General features: G+C 51.7%; 1 protein-coding gene, 1 long non-coding RNA gene and 1 other non-coding gene across 19 annotated transcripts, besides 3 other annotated features; 1 reads left to right on the top strand and 2 right to left on the bottom strand.

Annotated features, from left to right (window-relative positions):
• On the top strand, positions 172–10987 carry PROC (protein C, inactivator of coagulation factors Va and VIIIa). 17 transcript variants are annotated; one of them, NM_001375611.1, is made up of 9 exons: positions 172–257; positions 1671–1757; positions 3028–3194; positions 4662–4686; positions 4779–4916; positions 5019–5153; positions 7830–7972; positions 8850–8967; positions 10102–10987. In NM_001375611.1, exons 2-9 carry the CDS (start codon positions 1688–1690, stop codon positions 10689–10691), a joined length of 1386 nt encoding a protein of 461 aa, NP_001362540.1. In that variant the 5' UTR covers positions 172–257; positions 1671–1687; the 3' UTR covers positions 10692–10987. The 17 variants fall into 17 exon arrangements, with proteins under 17 accessions (NP_001362540.1, NP_001362531.1, NP_000303.1 ...); NM_001375602.1 differs by having other exon boundaries at positions 172–237; positions 1551–1757; NM_000312.4 differs by having other exon boundaries at positions 172–237; positions 1667–1757.
• Positions 4231–5029: an enhancer, noted in NCBI's record as "H3K4me1 hESC enhancer chr2:128180062-128180860 (GRCh37/hg19 assembly coordinates)". NCBI's record gives its function as "activates a minimal SCP1, AML or CMV promoter by ChIP-STARR-seq in primed H9 embryonic stem cells {active_cell/tissue: H9 hESC(primed)}" and the evidence as "EXISTENCE:reporter gene assay evidence [ECO:0000049][PMID:30033119]".
• Positions 5030–5826: an enhancer, noted in NCBI's record as "H3K4me1 hESC enhancer chr2:128180861-128181657 (GRCh37/hg19 assembly coordinates)". NCBI's record gives its function as "activates a minimal SCP1, AML or CMV promoter by ChIP-STARR-seq in naive H9 embryonic stem cells {active_cell/tissue: H9 hESC(naive)}" and the evidence as "EXISTENCE:reporter gene assay evidence [ECO:0000049][PMID:30033119]".
• MIR4783 (microRNA 4783) lies at positions 5282–5363 on the bottom strand. The gene has a single exon (NR_039944.1). It is a non-coding gene; the product is annotated as a microRNA 4783 (primary transcript).
• On the bottom strand, positions 6445–14451 carry LOC105373608 (uncharacterized). Its single transcript, XR_007087228.1, has 2 exons — positions 13412–14451; positions 6445–10009 (listed from the first exon to the last, which is right to left on the bottom strand). It is a non-coding gene; the product is annotated as an uncharacterized LOC105373608 (long non-coding RNA).
• Positions 19488–20488: an enhancer, noted in NCBI's record as "H3K27ac-H3K4me1 hESC enhancer chr2:128195319-128196319 (GRCh37/hg19 assembly coordinates)". NCBI's record gives its function as "activates a minimal SCP1, AML or CMV promoter by ChIP-STARR-seq in primed H9 embryonic stem cells {active_cell/tissue: H9 hESC(primed)}" and the evidence as "EXISTENCE:reporter gene assay evidence [ECO:0000049][PMID:30033119]".

The following is a 24723-nucleotide window of genomic DNA, read 5'->3' on the forward strand; positions in this document are numbered from 1 at the left end:
GGTTTTGCCCTCACCTCCCTCCCTGCTGGACGGCATCCTTGGTGGGCAGAGGTGGGCTTCGGGCAGAACAAGCCGTGCTGAGCTAGGACCAGGAGTGCTAGTGCCACTGTTTGTCTATGGAGAGGGAGGCCTCAGTGCTGAGGGCCAAGCAAATATTTGTGGTTATGGATTAACTCGAACTCCAGGCTGTCATGGCGGCAGGACGGCGAACTTGCAGTATCTCCACGACCCGCCCCTGTGAGTCCCCCTCCAGGCAGGTCTATGAGGGGTGTGGAGGGAGGGCTGCCCCCGGGAGAAGAGAGCTAGGTGGTGATGAGGGCTGAATCCTCCAGCCAGGGTGCTCAACAAGCCTGAGCTTGGGGTGAAAGGACACAAGGCCCTCCACAGGCCAGGCCTGGCAGCCACAGTCTCAGGTCCCTTTGCCATGCGCCTCCCTCTTTCCAGGCCAAGGGTCCCCAGGGCCCAGGGCCATTCCAACAGACAGTTTGGAGCCCAGGACCCTCCATTCTCCCCACCCCACTTCCACCTTTGGGGGTGTCGGATTTGAACAAATCTCAGAAGTGGCCTCAGAGGGAGTCGGCAAGAATGGAGAGCAGGGTCCGGTAGGGTGTGCAGAGGGCCACGTGGCCTATCCACTGGGGAGGGTTCCTTGATCTCTGGCCACCAGGGCTATCTCTGTGGCCTTTTGGAGCACCTGGTGGTTTGGGGCAGGGGTTGAATTTCCAGGCCTAAAACCACACAGGCCTGGCCTTGAGTCCTGGCTCTGCGAGTAATGCATGGATGTAAACATGGAGACCCAGGACCTTGCCTCAGTCTTCCGAGTCTGGTGCCTGCAGTGTACTGATGGTGTGAGACCCTACTCCTGGAGGATGGGGGACAGAATCTGATCGATCCCCTGGGTTGGTGACTTCCCTGTGCAATCAACGGAGACCAGCAAGGGTTGGATTTTTAATAAACCACTTAACTCCTCCGAGTCTCAGTTTCCCCCTCTATGAAATGGGGTTGACAGCATTAATAACTACCTCTTGGGTGGTTGTGAGCCTTAACTGAAGTCATAATATCTCATGTTTACTGAGCATGAGCTATGTGCAAAGCCTGTTTTGAGAGCTTTATGTGGACTAACTCCTTTAATTCTCACAACACCCTTTAAGGCACAGATACACCACGTTATTCCATCCATTTTACAAATGAGGAAACTGAGGCATGGAGCAGTTAAGCATCTTGCCCAACATTGCCCTCCAGTAAGTGCTGGAGCTGGAATTTGCACCGTGCAGTCTGGCTTCATGGCCTGCCCTGTGAATCCTGTAAAAATTGTTTGAAAGACACCATGAGTGTCCAATCAACGTTAGCTAATATTCTCAGCCCAGTCATCAGACCGGCAGAGGCAGCCACCCCACTGTCCCCAGGGAGGACACAAACATCCTGGCACCCTCTCCACTGCATTCTGGAGCTGCTTTCTAGGCAGGCAGTGTGAGCTCAGCCCCACGTAGAGCGGGCAGCCGAGGCCTTCTGAGGCTATGTCTCTAGCGAACAAGGACCCTCAATCCCAGCTTCCGCCCTGACGGCCAGCACACAGGGACAGCCCTTTCATTCCGCTTCCACCTGGGGGTGCAGGCAGAGCAGCAGCGGGGGTAGGCACTGCCCGGAGCTCAGAAGTCCTCCTCAGACAGGTGCCAGTGCCTCCAGAATGTGGCAGCTCACAAGCCTCCTGCTGTTCGTGGCCACCTGGGGAATTTCCGGCACACCAGCTCCTCTTGGTAAGGCCACCCCACCCCTACCCCGGGACCCTTGTGGCCTCTACAAGGCCCTGGTGGGCATCTGCCCAGGCCTTCACAGCTTCCACCATCTCTCTGAGCCCTGGGTGAGGTGAGGGGCAGATGGGAATGGCAGGAATCAACTGACAAGTCCCAGGTAGGCCAGCTGCCAGAGTGCCACACAGGGGCTGCCAGGGCAGGCATGCGTGATGGCAGGGAGCCCCGCGATGACCTCCTAAAGCTCCCTCCTCCACACGGGGATGGTCACAGAGTCCCCTGGGCCTTCCCTCTCCACCCACTCACTCCCTCAACTGTGAAGACCCCAGGCCCAGGCTACCGTCCACACTATCCAGCACAGCCTCCCCTACTCAAATGCACACTGGCCTCATGGCTGCCCTGCCCCAACCCCTTTCCTGGTCTCCACAGCCAACGGGAGGAGGCCATGATTCTTGGGGAGGTCCGCAGGACACATGGGCCCCTAAAGCCACACCAGGCTGTTGGTTTCATTTGTGCCTTTATAGAGCTGTTTATCTGCTTGGGACCTGCACCTCCACCCTTTCCCAAGGTGCCCTCAGCTCAGGCATACCCTCCTCTAGGATGCCTTTTCCCCCATCCCTTCTTGCTCACACCCCCAACTTGATCTCTCCCTCCTAACTGTGCCCTGCACCCAAGACAGACACTTCACAGAGCCCAGGAGACACCTGGGGACCCTTCCTGGGTGATAGGTCTGTCTATCCTCCAGGTGTCCCTGCCCAAGGGGAGAAGCATGGGGAATACTTGGTTGGGGGAGGAGAGGAAGACTGGGGGGATGTGTCAAGATGGGGCTGCACGTGGTGTACTGGCAGAAGAGTGAGAGGATTTAACTTGGCAGCCTTTACAGCAGCAGCCAGGGCTTGAGTACTTATCTCTGGGCCAGGGACTGTATTGGATGTTTTACATGACGGTCTCATCCCCATGTTTTTGGATGAGTAAATTGAACCTTAGAAAGGTAAAGACACTGGCTCAAGGTCACACAGAGATCGGGGTGGGGTTCACAGGGAGGCCTGTCCATCTCAGAGCAAGGCTTCGTCCTCCAACTGCCATCTGCTTCCTGGGGAGGAAAAGAGCAGAGGACCCCTGCGCCAAGCCATGACCTAGAATTAGAATGAGTCTTGAGGGGGCGGAGACAAGACCTTCCCAGGCTCTCCCAGCTCTGCTTCCTCAGACCCCCTCATGGCCCCAGCCCCTCTTAGGCCCCTCCACCAAGGTGAGCTCCCCCTCCCTCCAAAACCAGACTCAGTGTTCTCCAGCAGCGAGCGTGCCCACCAGGTGCTGCGGATCCGCAAACGTGCCAACTCCTTCCTGGAGGAGCTCCGTCACAGCAGCCTGGAGCGGGAGTGCATAGAGGAGATCTGTGACTTCGAGGAGGCCAAGGAAATTTTCCAAAATGTGGATGACACAGTAAGGCCACCATGGGTCCAGAGGATGAGGCTCAGGGGCGAGCTGGTAACCAGCAGGGGCCTCGAGGAGCAGGTGGGGACTCAATGCTGAGGCCCTCTTAGGAGTTGTGGGGGTGGCTGAGTGGAGCGATTAGGATGCTGGCCCTATGATGTCGGCCAGGCACATGTGACTGCAAGAAACAGAATTCAGGAAGAAGCTCCAGGAAAGAGTGTGGGGTGACCCTAGGTGGGGACTCCCACCAGCCACAGTGTAGGTGGTTCAGTCCACCCTCCAGCCACTGCTGAGCACCACTGCCTCCCCGTCCCACCTCACAAAGAGGGGACCTAAAGACCACCCTGCTTCCACCCATGCCTCTGCTGATCAGGGTGTGTGTGTGACCGAAACTCACTTCTGTCCACATAAAATCGCTCACTCTGTGCCTCACATCAAAGGGAGAAAATCTGATTGTTCAGGGGGTCGGAAGACAGGGTCTGTGTCCTATTTGTCTAAGGGTCAGAGTCCTTTGGAGCCCCCAGAGTCCTGTGGACGTGGCCCTAGGTAGTAGGGTGAGCTTGGTAACGGGGCTGGCTTCCTGAGACAAGGCTCAGACCCGCTCTGTCCCTGGGGATCGCTTCAGCCACTAGGACCTGAAAATTGTGCACGGCCTGGGCCCCCTTCCAAGGCATCCAGGGATGCTTTCCAGTGGAGGCTTTCAGGGCAGGAGACCCTCTGGCCTGCACCCTCTCTTGCCCTCAGCCTCCACCTCCTTGACTGGACCCCCATCTGGACCTCCATCCCCACCACCTCTTTCCCCAGTGGCCTCCCTGGCAGACGCCACAGTGACTTTCTGCAGGCACATATCTGATCACATCAAGTCCCCACCGTGCTCCCACCTCACCCATGGTCTCTCAGCCCCAGCAGGCCTTGGCTGGCCTCTCTGATGGAGCAGGCATCAGGCACAGGCCGTGGGTCTCAACGTGGGCTGGGTGGTCCTGGACCAGCAGCAGCCGCCGCAGCAGCAACCCTGGTACCTGGTTAGGAACGCAGACCCTCTGCCCCCATCCTCCCAACTCTGAAAAACACTGGCTTAGGGAAAGGCGCGATGCTCAGGGGTCCCCCAAAGCCCGCAGGCAGAGGGAGTGATGGGACTGGAAGGAGGCCGAGTGACTTGGTGAGGGATTCGGGTCCCTTGCATGCCAGAGGCTGCTGTGGGAGCAGACAGTCGCGAGAGCAGCACTGCAGCTGCATGGGGAGAGGGTGTTGCTCCAGGGACGTGGGATGGAGGCTGGGCGCGGGCGGGTGGCGCTGGAGGGCGGGGGAGGGGCAGGGAGCACCAGCTCCTAGCAGCCAACGACCATCGGGCGTCGATCCCTGTTTGTCTGGAAGCCCTCCCCTCCCCTGCCCGCTCACCCGCTGCCCTGCCCCACCCGGGCGCGCCCCCTCCGCACACCGGCTGCAGGAGCCTGACGCTGCCCGCTCTCTCCGCAGCTGGCCTTCTGGTCCAAGCACGTCGGTGAGTGCGTTCTAGATCCCCGGCTGGACTACCGGCGCCCGCGCCCCTCGGGATCTCTGGCCGCTGACCCCCTACCCCGCCTTGTGTCGCAGACGGTGACCAGTGCTTGGTCTTGCCCTTGGAGCACCCGTGCGCCAGCCTGTGCTGCGGGCACGGCACGTGCATCGACGGCATCGGCAGCTTCAGCTGCGACTGCCGCAGCGGCTGGGAGGGCCGCTTCTGCCAGCGCGGTGAGGGGGAGAGGTGGATGCTGGCGGGCGGCGGGGCGGGGCTGGGGCCGGGTTGGGGGCGCGGCACCAGCACCAGCTGCCCGCGCCCTCCCCTGCCCGCAGAGGTGAGCTTCCTCAATTGCTCGCTGGACAACGGCGGCTGCACGCATTACTGCCTAGAGGAGGTGGGCTGGCGGCGCTGTAGCTGTGCGCCTGGCTACAAGCTGGGGGACGACCTCCTGCAGTGTCACCCCGCAGGTGAGAAGCCCCCAATACATCGCCCAGGAATCACGCTGGGTGCAGGGTGGGCAGGCCCCCTGACGGGGCGCGGCGCGGGGGGCTCAGGAGGGTTTCTAGGGAGGGAGCGAGGAACAGAGTTGAGCCTTGGGGCAGCGGCAGACGCGCCCCAACACCGGGGCCACTGTTAGCGCAATCAGCCCGGGAGCTGGGCGCGCCCTCCGCTTTCCCTGCTTCCTTTCTTCCTGGCGTCCCCGCCTTCCTCCGGGCGCCCCCTGCGCACCTGGGGCCACCTCCTGGAGCGCAAGCCCAGTGGTGGCTCCGCTCCCCAGTCTGAGCGTATCTGGGGCGAGGCGTGCAGCGTCCTCCTCCATGTAGCCTGGCTGCGTTTTTCTCTGACGTTGTCCGGCGTGCATCGCATTTCCCTCTTTACCCCCTTGCTTCCTTGAGGAGAGAACAGAATCCCGATTCTGCCTTCTTCTATATTTTCCTTTTTATGCATTTTAATCAAATTTATATATGTATGAAACTTTAAAAATCAGAGTTTTACAACTTTTACATTTCAGCATGCTGTTCCTTGGCATGGGTCCTTTTTTCATTCATTTTCATTAAAAGGTGGACCCTTTTAATGTGGAAATTCCTATCTTCTGCCTCTAGGGACATTTATCACTTATTTCTTCTACAATCTCCCCTTTACTTCCTCTATTTTCTCTTTCTGGACCTCCCATTATTCAGACCTCTTTCCTCTAGTTTTATTGTCTCTTCTATTTCCCATCTCTTTGACTTTGTGTTTTCTTTCAGGGAACTTTCTTTTTTTTCTTTTTTTTTGAGATGGAGTTTCACTCTTGTTGTCCCAGGCTGGAGTGCAATGACGTGATCTCAGCTCACCACAACCTCCGCCTCCTGGATTCAAGCGATTCTCCTGCCGCAGCCTCCCGAGTAGCTGGGATTACAGGCATGCGCCACCACGCCCAGCTAATTTTGTGTTTTTAGTAGAGAAGGGGTTTCTCCGTGTTGGTCAAGCTGGTCTTGAACTCCTGACCTCAGGTGATCCACCTGCCTTGGCCTCCTAAAGTGCTGGGATTACAGGCGTGAGCCACCGCGCCCAGCCTCTTTCAGGGAACTTTCTACAACTTTATAATTCAATTCTTCTGCAGAAAAAAATTTTTGGCCAGGCTCAGTAGCTCAGACCAATAATTCCAGCACTTTGAGAGGCTGAGGTGGGAGGATTGCTTGAGCTTGGGAGTTTGAGACTAGCCTGGGCAACACAGTGAGACCCTGTCTCTATTTTTAAAAAAAGTAAAAAAAGATCTAAAAATTTAACTTTTTATTTTGAAATAATTAGATATTTCCAGGAAGCTGCAAAGAAATGCCTGGTGGGCCTGTTGGCCTGTGGGTTTCCTGCAAGGCCTTGGGAAGGCCCTGTCATTGGCAGAACCCCAGATCGTGAGGGCTTTCCTTTTAGGCTGCTTTCTAAGAGGACTCCTCCAAGCTCTTGGAGGATGGAAGACGCTCACCCATGGTGTTCGGCCCCTCAGAGCAGGGTGGGGCAGGGGAGCTGGTGCCTGTGCAGGCTGTGGACATTTGCATGACTCCCTGTGGTCAGCTAAGAGCACCACTCCTTCCTGAAGCGGGGCCTGAAGTCCCTAGTCAGAGCCTCTGGTTCACCTTCTGCAGGCAGGGAGAGGGGAGTCAAGTCAGTGAGGAGGGCTTTCGCAGTTTCTCTTACAAACTCTCAACATGCCCTCCCACCTGCACTGCCTTCCTGGAAGCCCCACAGCCTCCTATGGTTCCGTGGTCCAGTCCTTCAGCTTCTGGGCGCCCCCATCACGGGCTGAGATTTTTGCTTTCCAGTCTGCCAAGTCAGTTACTGTGTCCATCCATCTGCTGTCAGCTTCTGGAATTGTTGCTGTTGTGCCCTTTCCATTCTTTTGTTATGATGCAGCTCCCCTGCTGACGACGTCCCATTGCTCTTTTAAGTCTAGATATCTGGACTGGGCATTCAAGGCCCATTTTGAGCAGAGTCGGGCCGACCTTTCAGCCCTCAGTTCTCCATGGAGTATGCGCTCTCTTCTTGGCAGGGAGGCCTCACAAACATGCCATGCCTATTGTAGGAGCTCTCCAAGAATGCTCACCTCCTTCTCCCTGTAATTCCTTTCCTCTGTGAGGAGCTCAGCAGCATCCCATTATGAGACCTTACTAATCCCAGGGATCACCCCCAACAGCCCTGGGGTACAATGAGCTTTTAAGAAGTTTAACCACCTATGTAAGGAGACACAGGCAGTGGGCGATGCTGCCTGGCCTGACTCTTGCCATTGGGTGGTACTGTTTGTTGACTGACTGACTGACTGACTGGAGGGGGTTTGTAATTTGTATCTCAGGGATTACCCCCAACAGCCCTGGGGTACAATGAGCCTTCAAGAAGTTTAACAACCTATGTAAGGACACACAGCCAGTGGGTGATGCTGCCTGGTCTGACTCTTACCATTCAGTGGCACTGTTTGTTGACTGACTGACTGACTGACTGGCTGACTGGAGGGGGTTCATAGCTAATATTAATGGAGTGGTCTAAGTATCATTGGTTCCTTGAACCCTGCACTGTGGCAAAGTGGCCCACAGGCTGGAGGAGGACCAAGACAGGAGGGCAGTCTCGGGAGGAGTGCCTGGCAGGCCCCTCACCACCTCTGCCTACCTCAGTGAAGTTCCCTTGTGGGAGGCCCTGGAAGCGGATGGAGAAGAAGCGCAGTCACCTGAAACGAGACACAGAAGACCAAGAAGACCAAGTAGATCCGCGGCTCATTGATGGGAAGATGACCAGGCGGGGAGACAGCCCCTGGCAGGTGGGAGGCGAGGCAGCACCGGCTGCTCACGTGCTGGGTCCGGGATCACTGAGTCCATCCTGGCAGCTATGCTCAGGGTGCAGAAACCGAGAGGGAAGCGCTGCCATTGCGTTTGGGGGATGATGAAGGTGGGGGATGCTTCAGGGAAAGATGGACGCAACCTGAGGGGAGAGGAGCAGCCAGGGTGGGTGAGGGGAGGGGCATGGGGGCATGGAGGGGTCTGCAGGAGGGAGGGTTACAGTTTCTAAAAAGAGCTGGAAAGACACTGCTCTGCTGGCGGGATTTTAGGCAGAAGCCCTGCTGATGGGAGAGGGCTAGGAGGGAGGGCCGGGCCTGAGTACCCCTCCAGCCTCCACATGGGAACTGACACTTACTGGGTTCCCCTCTCTGCCAGGCATGGGGGAGATAGGAACCAACAAGTGGGAGTATTTGCCCTGGGGACTCAGACTCTGCAAGGGTCAGGACCCCAAAGACCCGGCAGCCCAGTGGGACCACAGCCAGGACGGCCCTTCAAGATAGGGGCTGAGGGAGGCCCAAGGGGAACATCCAGGCAGCCTGGGGGCCACAAAGTCTTCCTGGAAGACACAAGGCCTGGCCAAGCCTCTAAGGATGAGAGGAGCTCGCTGGGCGATGTTGGGTGTGGCTGAGGGTGACTGAAACAGTATGAACAGTGCAGGAACAGCATGGGCAAAGGCAGGAAGACACCCTGGGACAGGCTGACACTGTAAAATGGGCAAAAATAGAAAACGCCAGAAAGGGCCTAAGCCTATGCCCATATGACCAGGGAACCCAGGAAAGTGCATATGAAACCCAGGTGCCCTGGACTGGAGGCTGTCAGGAGGCAGCCCTGTGATGTCATCATCCCACCCCATTCCAGGTGGTCCTGCTGGACTCAAAGAAGAAGCTGGCCTGCGGGGCAGTGCTCATCCACCCCTCCTGGGTGCTGACAGCGGCCCACTGCATGGATGAGTCCAAGAAGCTCCTTGTCAGGCTTGGTATGGGCTGGAGCCAGGCAGAAGGGGGCTGCCAGAGGCCTGGGTAGGGGGACCAGGCAGGCTGTTCAGGTTTGGGGGACCCCGCTCCCCAGGTGCTTAAGCAAGAGGCTTCTTGAGCTCCACAGAAGGTGTTTGGGGGGAAGAGGCCTATGTGCCCCCACCCTGCCCACCCATGTACACCCAGTATTTTGCAGTAGGGGGTTCTCTGGTGCCCTCTTCGAATCTGGGCACAGGTACCTGCACACACATGTTTGTGAGGGGCTACACAGACCTTCACCTCTCCACTCCCACTCATGAGGAGCAGGCTGTGTGGGCCTCAGCACCCTTGGGTGCAGAGACCAGCAAGGCCTGGCCTCAGGGCTGTGCCTCCCACAGACTGACAGGGATGGAGCTGTACAGAGGGAGCCCTAGCATCTGCCAAAGCCACAAGCTGCTTCCCTAGCAGGCTGGGGGCACCTATGCATTGGCCCCGATCTATGGCAATTTCTGGAGGGGGGGTCTGGCTCAACTCTTTATGCCAAAAAGAAGGCAAAGCATATTGAGAAAGGCCAAATTCACATTTCCTACAGCATAATCTATGGCCAGTGGCCCCCCGTGGGGCTTGGCTTAGAATTCCCAGGTGCTCTTCCCAGGGAACCATCAGTCTGGACTGAGAGGACCTTCTCTCTCAGGTGGGACCCGGCCCTGTCCTCCCTGGCAGTGCCGTGTTCTGGGGGTCCTCCTCTCTGGGTCTCACTGCCCCTGGGGTCTCTCCAGCTACCTTTGCTCCACGTTCCTTTGTGGCTCTGGTCTGTGTCTGGGGTTTCCAGGGGTCTCGGGCTTCCCTGCTGCCCATTCCTTCTCTGGTCTCACGGCTCCGTGACTCCTGAAAACCAACCAGCATCCTACCTCTTTGGGATTGACACCTGTTGGCCACTCCTTCTGGCAGGAAAAGTCACCGTTGATAGGGTTCCACGGCATAGACAGGTGGCTCCGCGCCAGTGCCTGGGACGTGTGGGTGCACAGTCTCCGGGTGAACCTTCTTCAGGCCCTCTGCCCAGGCCTGCAGGGGCACAGCAGTGGGTGGGCCTCAGGAAAGTGCCACTGGGGAGAGGCTCCCCGCAGCCCACTCTGACTGTGCCCTCTGCCCTGCAGGAGAGTATGACCTGCGGCGCTGGGAGAAGTGGGAGCTGGACCTGGACATCAAGGAGGTCTTCGTCCACCCCAACTACAGCAAGAGCACCACCGACAATGACATCGCACTGCTGCACCTGGCCCAGCCCGCCACCCTCTCGCAGACCATAGTGCCCATCTGCCTCCCGGACAGCGGCCTTGCAGAGCGCGAGCTCAATCAGGCCGGCCAGGAGACCCTCGTGACGGGCTGGGGCTACCACAGCAGCCGAGAGAAGGAGGCCAAGAGAAACCGCACCTTCGTCCTCAACTTCATCAAGATTCCCGTGGTCCCGCACAATGAGTGCAGCGAGGTCATGAGCAACATGGTGTCTGAGAACATGCTGTGTGCGGGCATCCTCGGGGACCGGCAGGATGCCTGCGAGGGCGACAGTGGGGGGCCCATGGTCGCCTCCTTCCACGGCACCTGGTTCCTGGTGGGCCTGGTGAGCTGGGGTGAGGGCTGTGGGCTCCTTCACAACTACGGCGTTTACACCAAAGTCAGCCGCTACCTCGACTGGATCCATGGGCACATCAGAGACAAGGAAGCCCCCCAGAAGAGCTGGGCACCTTAGCGACCCTCCCTGCAGGGCTGGGCTTTTGCATGGCAATGGATGGGACATTAAAGGGACATGTAACAAGCACACCGGCCTGCTGTTCTGTCCTTCCATCCCTCTTTTGGGCTCTTCTGGAGGGAAGTAACATTTACTGAGCACCTGTTGTATGTCACATGCCTTATGAATAGAATCTTAACTCCTAGAGCAACTCTGTGGGGTGGGGAGGAGCAGATCCAAGTTTTGCGGGGTCTAAAGCTGTGTGTGTTGAGGGGGATACTCTGTTTATGAAAAAGAATAAAAAACACAACCACGAAGCCACTAGAGCCTTTTCCAGGGCTTTGGGAAGAGCCTGTGCAAGCCGGGGATGCTGAAGGTGAGGCTTGACCAGCTTTCCAGCTAGCCCAGCTATGAGGTAGACATGTTTAGCTCATATCACAGAGGAGGAAACTGAGGGGTCTGAAAGGTTTACATGGTGGAGCCAGGATTCAAATCTAGGTCTGACTCCAAAACCCAGGTGCTTTTTTCTGTTCTCCACTGTCCTGGAGGACAGCTGTTTCGACGGTGCTCAGTGTGGAGGCCACTATTAGTTCTGTAGGGAAGCAGCCAGAGACCCAGAAAGTGTTGGTTCAGCCCAGAATGAGCTCACAGTGTCGCGGGGGAAGCTGTTTAAGAACAATGTTACACCATCATGAACAGCAGTAAGAAAGAGGCTCTGGCTTAACCTGGCCTGATAGGCCTAATTGAATGAGACAGAAATAAGTCAAGGATGCTCTGATTTGAAATCATGAAGTACCTGATGAAAAGAAATGGTGGTGAGATAAAGCTGAGAAAATTCATCTAAAGCCCAAAATTAGTCTAGCTCTGTGTGTGGCCTCAGGCAAGTCTTTTTCTCCTCTCTGAGTGTGATGGTTAATTTTAGGTGTCGATTTGACTGGATGAAGGGATACCCAGATGGCTGGCGAAGCATGATTTCTGGGTGTGTCTGTGAGATGTTCTGGAGGAGATGGGCCACTGAGTCGGTGGACTATGTGGGGAAGATCCGCCCTCAGTGTGGGCAGGCACCATCCAATCAGCTCGGGACCCAGACAGAATAAAAAGGCAGAGGACAGGTGAATTATCTGTCTCTCCTAGAGCTGGGACACCCTTCTCCTGCCCTTGGACATCAGTTCCAGGTTCTCAGGCCTTTGGACTCTGAGACTTAACACCAGTGGCCCTCCAGATTCTCCAGCCATTAGCCCTGTACTGAGGATCCTGCTATCAGCTTCCCTGGTTCTGAGGCCTTGAGACCTGGACTGAGCCAGGCCGGCTTCCCGGGCTCTCCAGCTGGCAGGTCTGCCATGGGACTCCTCAGCCTCAATGATCACAGAAGCCAAATCCTTAATAAGCCCCTTCTCATCTATCTGTGTCTATATATACATCCTATTAGTTCTGTCTCTGGAGAACCCTGACTAATCCAGGGGACATCAGTAAAATGAAGGGATTGGATGAGAGCAGTGGTTCTACACCCTGGCTGCACATTTGCATCTCCCGGACAGCCTTTTTTTTTTTTTTTTTTTTTTTTTTTTTTGAGGTGGAGTCTCACTTTGTCTCCCAGGCTGGAGTGCAATGGTGCGATCTCAGCTCACTGCAACCTCCGCCTCCCGGGTTCAAGTGATTCTCCTGCCTCAGCCTCTTGAGTAGCTGGGATTACAGGTGCGTGCTAGTAGAGATGGGGTTTCACCATGTTGGCCAGGCTGGTCTCGAACTCCTGACTTCATGATCAGTCTGCCTTGCCTCCCAAAATCCTGGGATTACAGGTGTGAGCCACCGTGCCCGGCCCCAGAGAGCTTTTAAAAACACTGATGTGGCCGGGCGCGGTGGCTCAAGCCTGTAATCCCAGCACTTTGGGAGGCTGAGGTAGGTGGATCACGAGGTCAGGAGACCAAGACCATCCTGGCTAACACGGTGAAACCCCGTCTCTACTAAAAATACAAAAAATTAGCTGGGCGTGGTGGTGGGCACCTGTAGTCCCAGCTAGTTGGGAGGCTGAGGCAGGAGAATGGCGTGAACCTGGGAGGCGGAGCTTGCAGTGAGCCGAGATTGTGCCACTGCACTCCAGCCTGGGTGACAGAGTGAGACTCCGTCTCAAAAATAAATAAATAAATAAAAATAAAAATAAAATAAATAAATAAAAATAAAAACACTGATGTCCAGTCCCACCCCCAGAGATGCTAATTTAACTGATTGTGCCAGGGGAGTGGGGACCCAGACATTGATATTTTTACAACTCTCCAATTCATTTCAATGTGTTCACTGGGGTTGAAAGCGACTGGGCTAGGCCAGGTGCCATGGCTCATACTGGTAATCCTGGCGCTTTGGGAAGCTGAGGCAGGAGGATTGCTTGAGCCCAGGAGTTCGAGGCCAGCCTGGGCAACATAGGGAGAACTTGTCTCTATTTAAAATAATAATAAATAAATAAAAATAAATTAATAAAAATGGACCAAATGGTCTTTAAGGGCCTTTCTTCTCAGGTAAACTCTAGTTCTAAGACTCTCCAGGCCAACGAGGATAAAGCCAATTATCTGAGAAAGCACAGCACAGCTCAGTCCACAGTAAAATAAAGGAGGACTTGATTTGTGGCCACAGCTGCGGCCAGACCAGAGAGGACACCAGGACCCACGGAGTTAGTTATCTGTGTGTGGCCACAAGAAAAGAGATCTGCCCGAGCTGGGGCCTGTGGGATTCTCCTCCTTACTGACCTGGGGGAGGAATAGGTGGGGCTGCCTGGAAATGGGAGCAAACCGCGCCCGGGGCTGGAAGCACCCGCCGAATGGCACAGGGCCAGTGCCCACCACAGTCTCAGTGGAGGTGACGGACTGAAAGAATGACAGAGGACTGGAAGTCTTCGCCTCTGCTGAAGATTTCCGGGTGGGCTGCTGTCAGGATGGTGACCCTGCATGGCCTAGAGCACCTCTGGCATGACAGTGTTGGGAGATCCACCGACCTGCTGCCTGGGGAAACCGGGGAAAATTAGAAAAGCAAACAAACATTTCAAGTCCTGGAAATGGCCCTGAGGGCAAACAAAACAAGAACAAAAATACAACTTTTAAACCAACAGAAGAAAACTTGATGTGCCCAACAGAAAGCAAAGGAGAGGAATGAAAATAAGCGAGAAGCACGTATAAATCAACTGCATTTCTCTACACGAACATGAACATGTGGAAACCCAGGTTAAAAGCACAACAGCACCCCTGTCACTTTAAGGAAAAAGTACTTCGATATACATTTAGCAAAACATGTACCAGATCTGTGTGACAAAATTCACAAAATACCGGGAATGTCCATTCTCCCAAAATTGATCTACAGATGTCATGTAATTCCTATCAAAATCCCAGTATGTCTTTTTGTGGTCATAAACAAGGTACTATATGTGTGTGTATGTGCGTAAAGGACCTCAAATGACTAGAATGTTTTGGAAAAAAGAATTAGAGAAATCGCTCTACCCAGCGTCATGGCTTGTTGAATAGCTACAGTCATCAGACTACGTGGTGCTCATGGAGGAAGAGAAACACGGATGGAGCGAAATGGAGACTGTGGAGCGAGACCCACACAGCTACAGCCTTTTGATTTTTGACAAAGATACCAAAGCAATTCAGTGGAGGAAGGAGAGGCTTTTCAACAAAGGGTGCTGGCACAGTGGGGCCTCAATAGGCAAAAAAGTGAACCTCAACCTATATCTCTCACCTCATACAAAAATTAACTCAGCATGGAACTTAGGCCGGGCGCAGTGGCTCACACCCATAATCCCAGCACTTTGGGAAGCTGAGGCGGGTGGATCCCCTGAGGTCAGGAGTTTCGAGACCAGCCTGGCCAACATGAAGAAGCCCTGTCTCTACTAAAAATACAAAAATTAGCTGGGCGTGGTGGCACATGCCTGTAATCCCAGCTACCCAGGAGGCTGAGGCAGGAGAATTGCTTGAACCCAGGAGGCGGAGGTTGCAGTGAGCCAAGATGGCGCCATTGCATTCTAGCCTGAGTGACACAGTGGGACTCCATCTCAAAAAAGAAAAAAAAAAAAGAGAATGGAACTTAGATGTAATGTAAAACTATGAAACAAAACAAAAGAAAGTACAGTTGATGGAAACTGTGAAATAAGATGGAAATAATAACAATAAATGTAATTAGGTTAAGCTTACCAATTTAAAAAGATAAATCTAAGAATTAAAAAACCAATGAGACAATATATTGATTAGAGACAACTTAAAAAGCACCCAAAGACTGAAAATAAAGAATGCTAGAAATTCCATGCAACTTTGAATGAAAAGAAAGCTAAGATAGTGATTCCAGTAACGAATACAATGGAAATTAAGAAAAAAATACCATAAAGAACAATGATGGACATTATATACAGAAAAAATCACTCACATGTAAAGATCTAATTATTATAAAACAATATGTGCCCCTGCAACATAACCTCCAAATACTGCATACAGTGTGACATTTGACAGAAGGGAAAGGAGAAATAAACAACTTTTACTTGTATTTGGAGAGTTTTTTAAAAAATTATCTTATAAACCAATAAATCAAACAGATTTTTAAAAAGTGGATATGTAGATGATCTGAACAATAAAATTAATAAGCTTGAGCGATTCTTTTTTTGAATTGAGTCTCGCTCTGTCACCCAGGGTGGACTACAGTGGTGCGATCTTGGCTCACTGCAATCTCTGCCTCCCGGGTTCAAGCAATTCTCCTGTCTCAGCCTCCTGAGCAGCTGGGACTACAGGTGCCCACCACCATGCCTGGCTAGTTCTTGTATTTTTATTAGAGATGGAGTCTCGTCATGTTGGTCAGGCTGGTCTCGAACTCCAACCTCAGGTAATCCACCCACCTTGGCCTCCCAAAGTGCTCGGATTACAGGCGTGAGCCACTGTGCCCAGCCGAGTGATTCTTTTTGAGCACACTAGGAACATTTACAAAACTATACTGGACCATGAAGAAAGCCTCAATAAATTCCAAGGGATCAATATAATACAGAGCATGTCCTCTAGCTAAAAGACAATAAAAGTAGAAATTTCTAATGAAAAACTTTAAAAATGCCATATGTCTGCAAACTAATTAACATATCAGCAGGCAATCATAAGATAAACTAAGAAATTGTAAGAATTATATGTTAATTTGTGTTTCACAGCTACAGCAACACCAGGAGGGAAATTATACCTTTAAATATACTTATCCAGGCTGGGCGCGGTGTCTCATGCCTGTAATCCCAGCACTTTGGGAGCCCAAGATGGGTGGGTCACCTGAGGTCAGGAGTTCAAGACTAGCCTGGCCAACATGGTGAAATTCCATCTCTACTAAAAATACAAAAATTAGCTGGGCATGGTGGTGGGCGCCTATAATCCCAGCTACTTGGGAGGCTGAGGCAGGAGGATCACTTAAACCCAGGGAGTGGAGGTTGTGGCGAGTCAAGACTGCACCATTGCACTCCAGCCTGGGCAACAAGAGCGAAACTCCATCTCAAAATAAATAAGTAAATATTCTTATCCAGAAACAAAAAGTTAAAAGCAAATACATGTTATTCAGGGTTCTCCAGGGAAATGAAATTGACCGAATAGAGAGAGAGATTTATTTCAAAGAAACAGCTCACATAATCGTGAAGGCTGATAAGTCTAAAATCTGCAGCGTGGGCCTGCAGGCTGGAGACTTAGGGAACACTCACAGTTTGAGTCTGAGTGCAGTGTGCTGGCAGAATTCCTTCTTTCTTGGGTAGAGTCAGCCTTTATTAAGACCTTCAACTGATTGGATGCAGCCCACCTGCATTATGGAGGATAACCTGCTTTACTCAAAGTCCACTGGTTTAAGTGTTAATCTCATCCAAAAAAACATCTGCCCAGAAAACATTCGAAATGATGTTTGACCAAATATCTGGATACTGAGGCCTAGCCAAGATGACACATAAAATTAACCATCACGAAGGGTCACGGGTTGAATTGTGTCCTCCCAAAATTCACACACTGAAGCCCCAACCTCCAAAAACTCGGAATGTGACCTCACTTGGAAATGGGATTGCTGAGGATATAATTAGTTAAGACAAGGTCAATACAAAAGTTAGCTGGGTGTGGTGGTGGGTGCCTGTAATCCCAGCTACTCAGGAGGCTGAGACAGGAGAATCGCTTGAACCCAGGAGACGGAGGTTGCAGTGAGCTGAGATCAAGCCACTGCACTCCAGCCTGGGCGACAGGGTGAGGCTCTGTCTAAAAAATAAATAAATACATAAATACATAAATAAAAAGACAAGGTCATTCTGGAATAGGGTGGACCCCTAAAATGATTGGTGTTCTCATAAAAAGGAGAAATTGGGGCACAGACATGAACGGAGAGAAGACAACGTGAACACACGGGGAGAACACCACATGAAGATGAAGGCGGAGGTCAGGGCCACTCATCTACAAGCCAAGGGCTCCCAAGATGGCCCGCAACCTCCAGAAGCTGGGAGAGCAGCCTTGACCAGCTTCACCCTTGCAGCCCTCAGAAGGCAGCAACCCTGCTGACACCTCAGTCTTGAACTTCTAGCGTCCAAAACTGTGAAACAATGGATTTCTGTTATTTAGGACATCCAGTCTGTGGTACTTTATTATAACAGCCCTTGCAATCTAATACAGCAGGTGACATGAAATCCTTACTTAAGAAGCTGGAAAAACACCAGATGCAGGATCACGCCTGTAATCACAGCACTTTGGGAGGCTGAGGAGGGAGGATCACTTGAGCTCAGGAGTTCAAGACCAGCCTGGGCAACAAAGTGACCTTCTCTCTACAAAAAATCAAAAGGTTAGCCAGGCACGGCGGCATATACCTATGGTCCCAGCTACTCAGGACGCTGAGGCAGGAGGATCTCTTGAGCCCAGGAGGTTGAGGCTGCAGTGAGCTGTGAGTGTGCCATTGTACTCCAGCTGGGGCAACAGAGTGAGACCCTGTTTCAATAATTAAATAAATACATACATACATACATACGAAACTGGGAAGAGAGCAAGTGACATAAAAATCTTACTTAAGAAGCTGGAAAGTAACACAAACCCAAAGAAACAAGAAGGAGGGAAATATAAAGATAAGGAGGCAGAATTGAGTGTAAGAGAGGTGCAAATGATGAACACAAGAAATAACATCAAAAGCAGAGAGGCAGATCTATGAAAAATGCAGATTAGAAAGAGTGACAGGGGCGTAGCAATGATTTTACTATAAGCTAATACATTTGAAAGCCTAGGTGAAATACACACATTCCTGAACAAATATAAAATACTAACACTGGTGCAAGAAGAAAACTGCACTGCCGGTAAAAGCCATTCCACTCCCCTTCAAAAGCTTCTGTCTCATGCTGCTTTGTGTGCGAGTTCTGTCAAAGTTTTAAAGAACAGTTAGTTCCCATCTTAAACAAGTTTCCTCCCCCGAATGGAAAAATAACAAAACCCACCCAACTCATTTTATGATATTTTGTGCCATGCAGCCAGGCTAGAACTTCTGTACCTCCTGGAGGGAAGCACCCACATCCCTTGGCTCCTGAGTGTGGAAAGCTCTGCCCTCTGGCTCTGTGAAAGCGGCTGTCTCCAGACAGACTCGGGTGCAGGCAGCTCCTTGCAAGGTCGGCAGGGAGAGCATGCCCCATCTGCCCCTGTCTTTTGAAACATCCTTTTTGCCCCATATTGATTGATTGATTGATTAACTGATTGAGACAGAGTCTTACTCTGTCACCCAGGCTGGACGGAGTGCAGTGGCACAATCTCAGCTCATTGCAACCTCTGCCTTCCTTGTTCAAGCAATTCTCCTGCCTCAGCCTCCCCAGTAGCTGGGGTTACAGGCACCTGCCACAAATCTCAGCTAATTTTTGTATTTTTAGTAGAGACACAGTGTCACCATGTTGGCTAGGCTGGTCGTGAACTCCTGACCTCACGTGATCCGCCCACCTCAGCCTCCTAAAGTGCTGGGATTACAGGCATGAGCCACCACGCCTGGCTCCCCATCCTTGATTTGTACATGTTTTTTGTTTTTGTAGATTTAGGGGTTTGAGTATAGATTTCTTGCTTGCATGGATTATGCAGTGCTGGAGTCTGGGCTTCTAGTGGAGCCATCGCCCAGTGAGCCCTGTACCCAAATAGGTGATTTTCAACCCTCACCCCTTCCCTTCCACCTTTCGCAGTCTCCCACGTCTAGGATTCCACTCTGTATGTCCATGACAACACCCAGCTTTAGAGTGCACGGCTGAGGGCACAGTCGAGGAGGAGACACCCTCCCCCAGGGGGCACATGCTGGGCCTTCTGGAGGCAGATGAGGGAGAGTCTCTTGGGAGGCTGCAGGCCTGGCGTGCGTGGGGGTGTGTCACGAAGGAGGTGAGCAGTGTAGGGGACAGGCTGGGTTAAGCTTATCCATTGACCATATCTATCGAGTGCCACCTCTGGGCCCAGAGCTGAGCCCAGACAGGCGCATGGGTCAGACAAGGCCCAGGGACACACAAATTGTAGAAGAGAAGCTTTACACAAGCTTGCTTTAACAGAGCCTTTTCATTGACAAAAATAAAAGGACGTGAAAAGAAATTTAAGACTCAATGGGCTGAAGAGTGATCTCTTATTACCGCAACATTTGAGAGCTGATGTCAGATGGCAGCCTGGCTGCAGAGAAGGTACCCAGGCCCTGGGCTCAGTGGCCCTTCCCCAGCTGGTGCCCCCAGCCTTACTGCCTGGCCCTCCTGCACCTTCTTTTCCTTGTCTAGGAACTGGGCTCATCCCCCTCTATCCCCAGTGGTTGTGGGGATGAAAGGAAGGCCAACCCCTGCAAGGCCTGGTGCCTGGAGCTGGCCCTGGGTAGACGCCTCCCTCCCCTTCTTCCTGAGCCCTTCATGCAGAGCCCAGGACGCAATGGTCACAATGGCTAAAATCTCTTTGGAGGAGGGAGAGATCAGTGCAGGCTGAAGCCATTGGTGAGAGTGGAAGAATTCAGCTCTCCAGCGGAAGGCAGCAATATGCAGAGAGCCCTGTGATGGGGCTGCTGGAGCCGAGGCCTGGGGGTTCAGTCCCCTGAGAAGCCCCCACCAGCTTAGCCTGGGGGACGAGTTATGGGAAGGACAGATGAGAAACTGCTAACTAAACAAGGCCAAAAGGACCAGGGCAAGCTGGGGGAGACCATGGAGGCTGTGGAAGGAACAGGCTGACTAAGCCTCAGGAGAGGCCAAGAGAGGCTAAGCAGGGAGCCAGGTCCTAGGAAAGAAACAGCACCCAGCTCTGGGGCCATGCCGGGGAGGCTGTGGGTAGAGGGCTAGGGCACCAGGCCATATTGAGAACCTTCATTGCAGGCCCATGCCAGGCACGTGACCCACAGTGACCCGGGGCTTCACAGAGCAACCAAGGGAGGAACTGCCGACTCCATTCTGATGAAGGGAAAAGAGCCTCTGGGGGGCTCCCTACATCACTGCTATTGGAGGAGTCTGGGTAGGAATGCAGCAGGCTCCAAAGTCCCTGCTGTGTCCCGTGGGCCATGGAGCCAGGTGGCGGGTCAGGGAGAGGAGTGGTGCATGGTTGGGCAGTGGCAGGACCTAGGCTCTGTCAATATTTGGTGTGGGTCAATCATTAGCCAGCCTCAGACTTGTCCCCCCACAGGTTCCTCAGGTGGGTTCTGGGCTAGGCCCTGCCCTGCTGGGGGCTCCACAGGGCTTGGCCTAGATTGGACGAGTCGGGTGGGCAGCCCCTGGTCTCTCCACTCAGGAGACTCCCCACCCACAGGGCTGCAGTCCTGCCTCAGGGCTCAGCAAGCAAACACGTAAGAGCACTGCACAGTTGAAAAAATGAGTTTTAAAACAATCTGCCAAGAAAAAAGATGTCAAAGTAGTCATCACGGGAAAAGTCAGAATTTTGGTGGACTTCACTGCACTTATTCTGTGGCTATTAATTTTAAATTATGTATGTGGGGGAGGGGAGCACACCATAATCTTTCTAGTGCCCTGAGGCTCTTAAACCAGGCTCTGTTCACCTGGACCTGTGTTCATGGGCAGGAAACTGTTCTAGGCCCTTTATATGCATTGTTTGATTTAATCCTGTAAGTGATTTTTTTTTTTTTTTTGAGACAGAGTCTCACTCTGTCACCCATGCTATAGTGCAGTGGTGTGATCTCAGCTCACTGCAACCTCTGCCTCCCCGGTTCAAGTGATTCTCACGCCTCAGCCTCCTGAGTAGCTGGGACCACAGGCGTGCACCATCATGGCCGGCTAATTTTTGTATTTTTAGTAGAGATGGTATTTCGTCATGTTGGCCAGGCTGGTCTCTAACTCCTGGCCTCAAGTGATCTGCCTGCTTTGGCCTCCCAGAGGGCTGGGATTACCGGTGTGAGCAACCATGCTGGACCCTCTAAGTGATCTTAAGAGATGCCTGCTCTTGCCTTCCCATGTTAGCCCCCTAATGTAACCGGCTCAGAGATGGACACAGCGAATACAGACAGAATGGGGATGTGCCTCCAAATCTGCCTGACTCCAGGAGGGGTCCCTTTAGTTGACATTGGCCCTGGAGAGACCTCAGTGGAGTGGGGAACTGGGCAGGAGTCTAGCGGGGCTGAGGTGGGAGGCAGGCTTCCTGCCAGTTCTGGCAGAGGGTGGGGCTGAGTGGGGTGGGCCATGGGCCAGCAGGGTCCTCATGGCTGGCTGCAGATGGAGTTCTAGGTCTATTATCAGGGTGGTGGACGAGGGAGGGACAACAGCTCTCTGGGATCAGGTGTGTGTGCTATAACATGGGCTCCAGGCCACCTGGCTACAGAGAAGCTATGCTGTTTGGGGGGCGTCACCTCACCCCACAATTGGCCTCACATTCATCAATTGTCCCTCATTTGGGCAAGAAAACCCAGGTCACACACAACTTGGTGGGAGAGCTAGGCCTAAAACCAGGTCCCCTGGCTTGGTGTCCAGTGTTCTTTCCTGTGCACCTGTCCCGCCACCCTGGACAGTAAGTGTGAGGGCCACAGTGTGGACTCTGAGGCCCCAGGAGCCTTCAGCAGGCCACAGCACACACACATGCCAAAAACAAGTTATACATGCATGTGGTAAAAAACTCAAATAGGACAGAGGACTTCATATGAGTGGTTGTACTTGGCTATCCCATCCCTCCTTACCCTTACTCTTTTTGCTCTCTGTATGCTATAATTTGAGTACTTTCTATTATCTTTCTTCATCAATTCTGTCTTCTCATGTGTCCAAACCCTGTGAAACTTGGCCAATCAGTTAATAATTTCAGATGATAAACCCTTCAATTCTAGAATGCCCACTTGATTCCTCTCTACAGATTCCATTTCTCTGTAAAAATTCTCCATCTTTTCACCTATTTTCCCCATTTTTCTTCTATCTTCTTTAATATATTGCTATAGTTGTTACCTTATCCAACATTTGGATCATCTGTGGGTCTATGTCTATTGGCTTTTTTTCTTTTGACTATTGGTTCTATTTTCCTTTTTATTTGCCTGTCTTGTAATTTCCACAGTATGCAGAAGACAATTTATAAAGGAACCATAGCAACCAAATATTATATTATTTTCTTGTCAGGAAAGTCTGCCCTTTCAGGTTTAATTAACAACAAAACTGGGATGAAGCTGGGCTGCAGTTTTAGTTATAATCAGTCCATATCAGGTTTCAAATGCTTGATGGGACAGCCTGAGTGCCTGGTAAGTCTGTCTTGTCAATCCCAAAGATGTAGGAGAGTCATTCTTCCCTTTGGCAGTTTTAAACTCTGCTCCTTAGTTTCCTATCCCCTGCTGCTTCCAAATTTCACAAATGTCTTGAGAAGGAGACTGGCAGTTTGTTCAAGACTGTCCCCCTTCCTGGGGAGGACTTTGCTTACCAATTATCCAAGACTAAAGGAGATTAGGCTCTAGTTTAAAAACTCCCTAGTATCTTGTGAAGCTTCCAGATGCAGCGAATCAGCAAATGAACTGGGGGACGGAGGGCAGCATGGTTGTCACGCTTTAAAAAAATTAACAGATTTTAGGTCGGGCATGGTGGCTCATGCCTTAAGTAATCCCAGCACTTTGGGAGGCTGAGGCGGGTGAATCACTTGAGGTCAGGAGTTCAAGACCAGCCTGGCCAATATGGTGAAACCCCGTCTCTACTAAAAATACAAAAATTAGCTGGGTGTGGTGGCATACTCCTGTAATACCAGCTACTTGGGAGGCTGAGGCAGGAGACTCACTTGAACCCAGGAGGTGGAGGTTGCAGTGAGCCAAGATTGCACCACTGCACTCCAGCCTGGGCAAAAGAGCGAGACTCCATCTCAAAAAACAACAACAAAAATCAACATATTAACATATTTTATTTTTCAGAGCAGTTTTAAGTTTATAGAAAAGTGAATAGGTGGCTGGACGCGGTGGCTCACACCTGTAATCCCAGCACTTTGGGAGGCCGAGGTGGGTGAATCACGAGGTCAGGAGTTCCAAGACCAGCCTGGCCAACATGGTGAAACCCCCGTCTCTACTAAAAATACAAAAAATTAGCTGGGCTTAGTGGGGGGTGCCTGTAATCCCAGCTACTCGGAAGGCTGAGGCAGAAGAATCACTTGAACCCAGAGGTGGAGGTTGCAGTGAGCCGAGTTTGCACCACTACACTCCAGCCTGGGCGACAGAATGAGAATTCATCTCAAGAAAAAAAAGAAAAGAAAGAAAAAGCGAATAGAAGGTACAGAGAGTTCCCATATGCCTTCCTAACCCCAATAGAGTTTCTCCTATTATTAACATGTTGTATTAGTGTGGTACATTTGTTATAAGTGATGAGTCAGTATTGATATATTATTAACTAAAGTCCACGGTTTACATCAGAGCTCACTCTGTGTTGTCCATTGTATAGGTCTTGACAAACATATGACATGTATCCACCATCACAGCATCATAAAGAATAATTTCACTGCCCTAAAAATATCTTATTCTCTCCACCTATTTATCCCTCCCTTCCTTCCTGCCTCCACCCAATCCCTGATCTTTTTTTTTTCGAGACAGAGTCTCACTGTGTCACCCAGGCTGGAGTACAGTGGCACGATCTCGACTCACTGCAACCTCTGCTTCCCGGGTTCAAGCAATTCTCTGCCTCGGCCTCCCGAATAGCTGGGATTACAGGTGCCCACCACCACACCCAGCATTTTTGTATTTTTAGTAGAGATGGGGTTTCACCATTTTGGCCAGGCTGCTCTTGAACTCCTGACCTTGTGATCCACCGTCTCGGCCTCCCAAACTGCTGGGATTATAGGCGTGAGCCATCGCGCCCGGCCTGATCTTTTTACTGTCTCCATAGTTTTGCCTTTTCCAGAATGTCATGTAGTTGGAATCACACAATAGGTAGCCTTTTCAGATTGGCTTCTTTCACTTGGCAATGAGCATTTAAGATTCTTTCATGTCTTTTAGTGGCTTGATAGCTCAATTCTTTTTATTGCTGAATAAAATTCCATTGTTTTGATGTACCCCAGTTTATTTATTCAACTACTGAAGGACATCTTAGTTGCTCCCAACTTGTGGCAATATGAATAAAGCTGCTCTAAATATCTGTGTGGGTGCAGGTTCTTCTATTAACACAAGTTTTCAACTCATTTGGATACAAACCAAGGAGTATGATTGCTACATTTTATGGTAAAAGCATGTGTAGTTCTTTTGTTTTTGTAAAGATGGGATTTTGCTATGCTCCCCAGGAGGGTCTTGAACTCCTAGCTCAAGTGATCCTCCTGCCTCAGCCTCCCAAAGCACTGGGATTGAAGGTGTGAGCCACCACACCTGGCCTATGTTTACTTTTGTAAGAAACTGCCTTCCAAAGTGGCTGTGTTCTATTTTGCATTCCCACCAGCAATGAATGAGAGATCCTGTTGCTCCCCACCCTTGCCAAATTTGATGTGGTTGGTATTTTAGATTTTTGTCATTCTAATAGGTGTTAGTGGCATCTCATTGTTTTAATTTGTAATTTCTTAGTGACATCTGATGTTGGATATCTTTTCATAAGTATATTTGCCATCTGTATATCTTCTTTGATGAGATGTCTGTTCAGATCTTTTGCCTCTTTTACATTTTGGAT

Source organism: Homo sapiens, chromosome 2, assembly GCF_000001405.40.
Source record: "Homo sapiens chromosome 2, GRCh38.p14 Primary Assembly".
NCBI classification, from domain to species: Eukaryota; Metazoa; Chordata; class Mammalia; order Primates; family Hominidae; genus Homo; species Homo sapiens.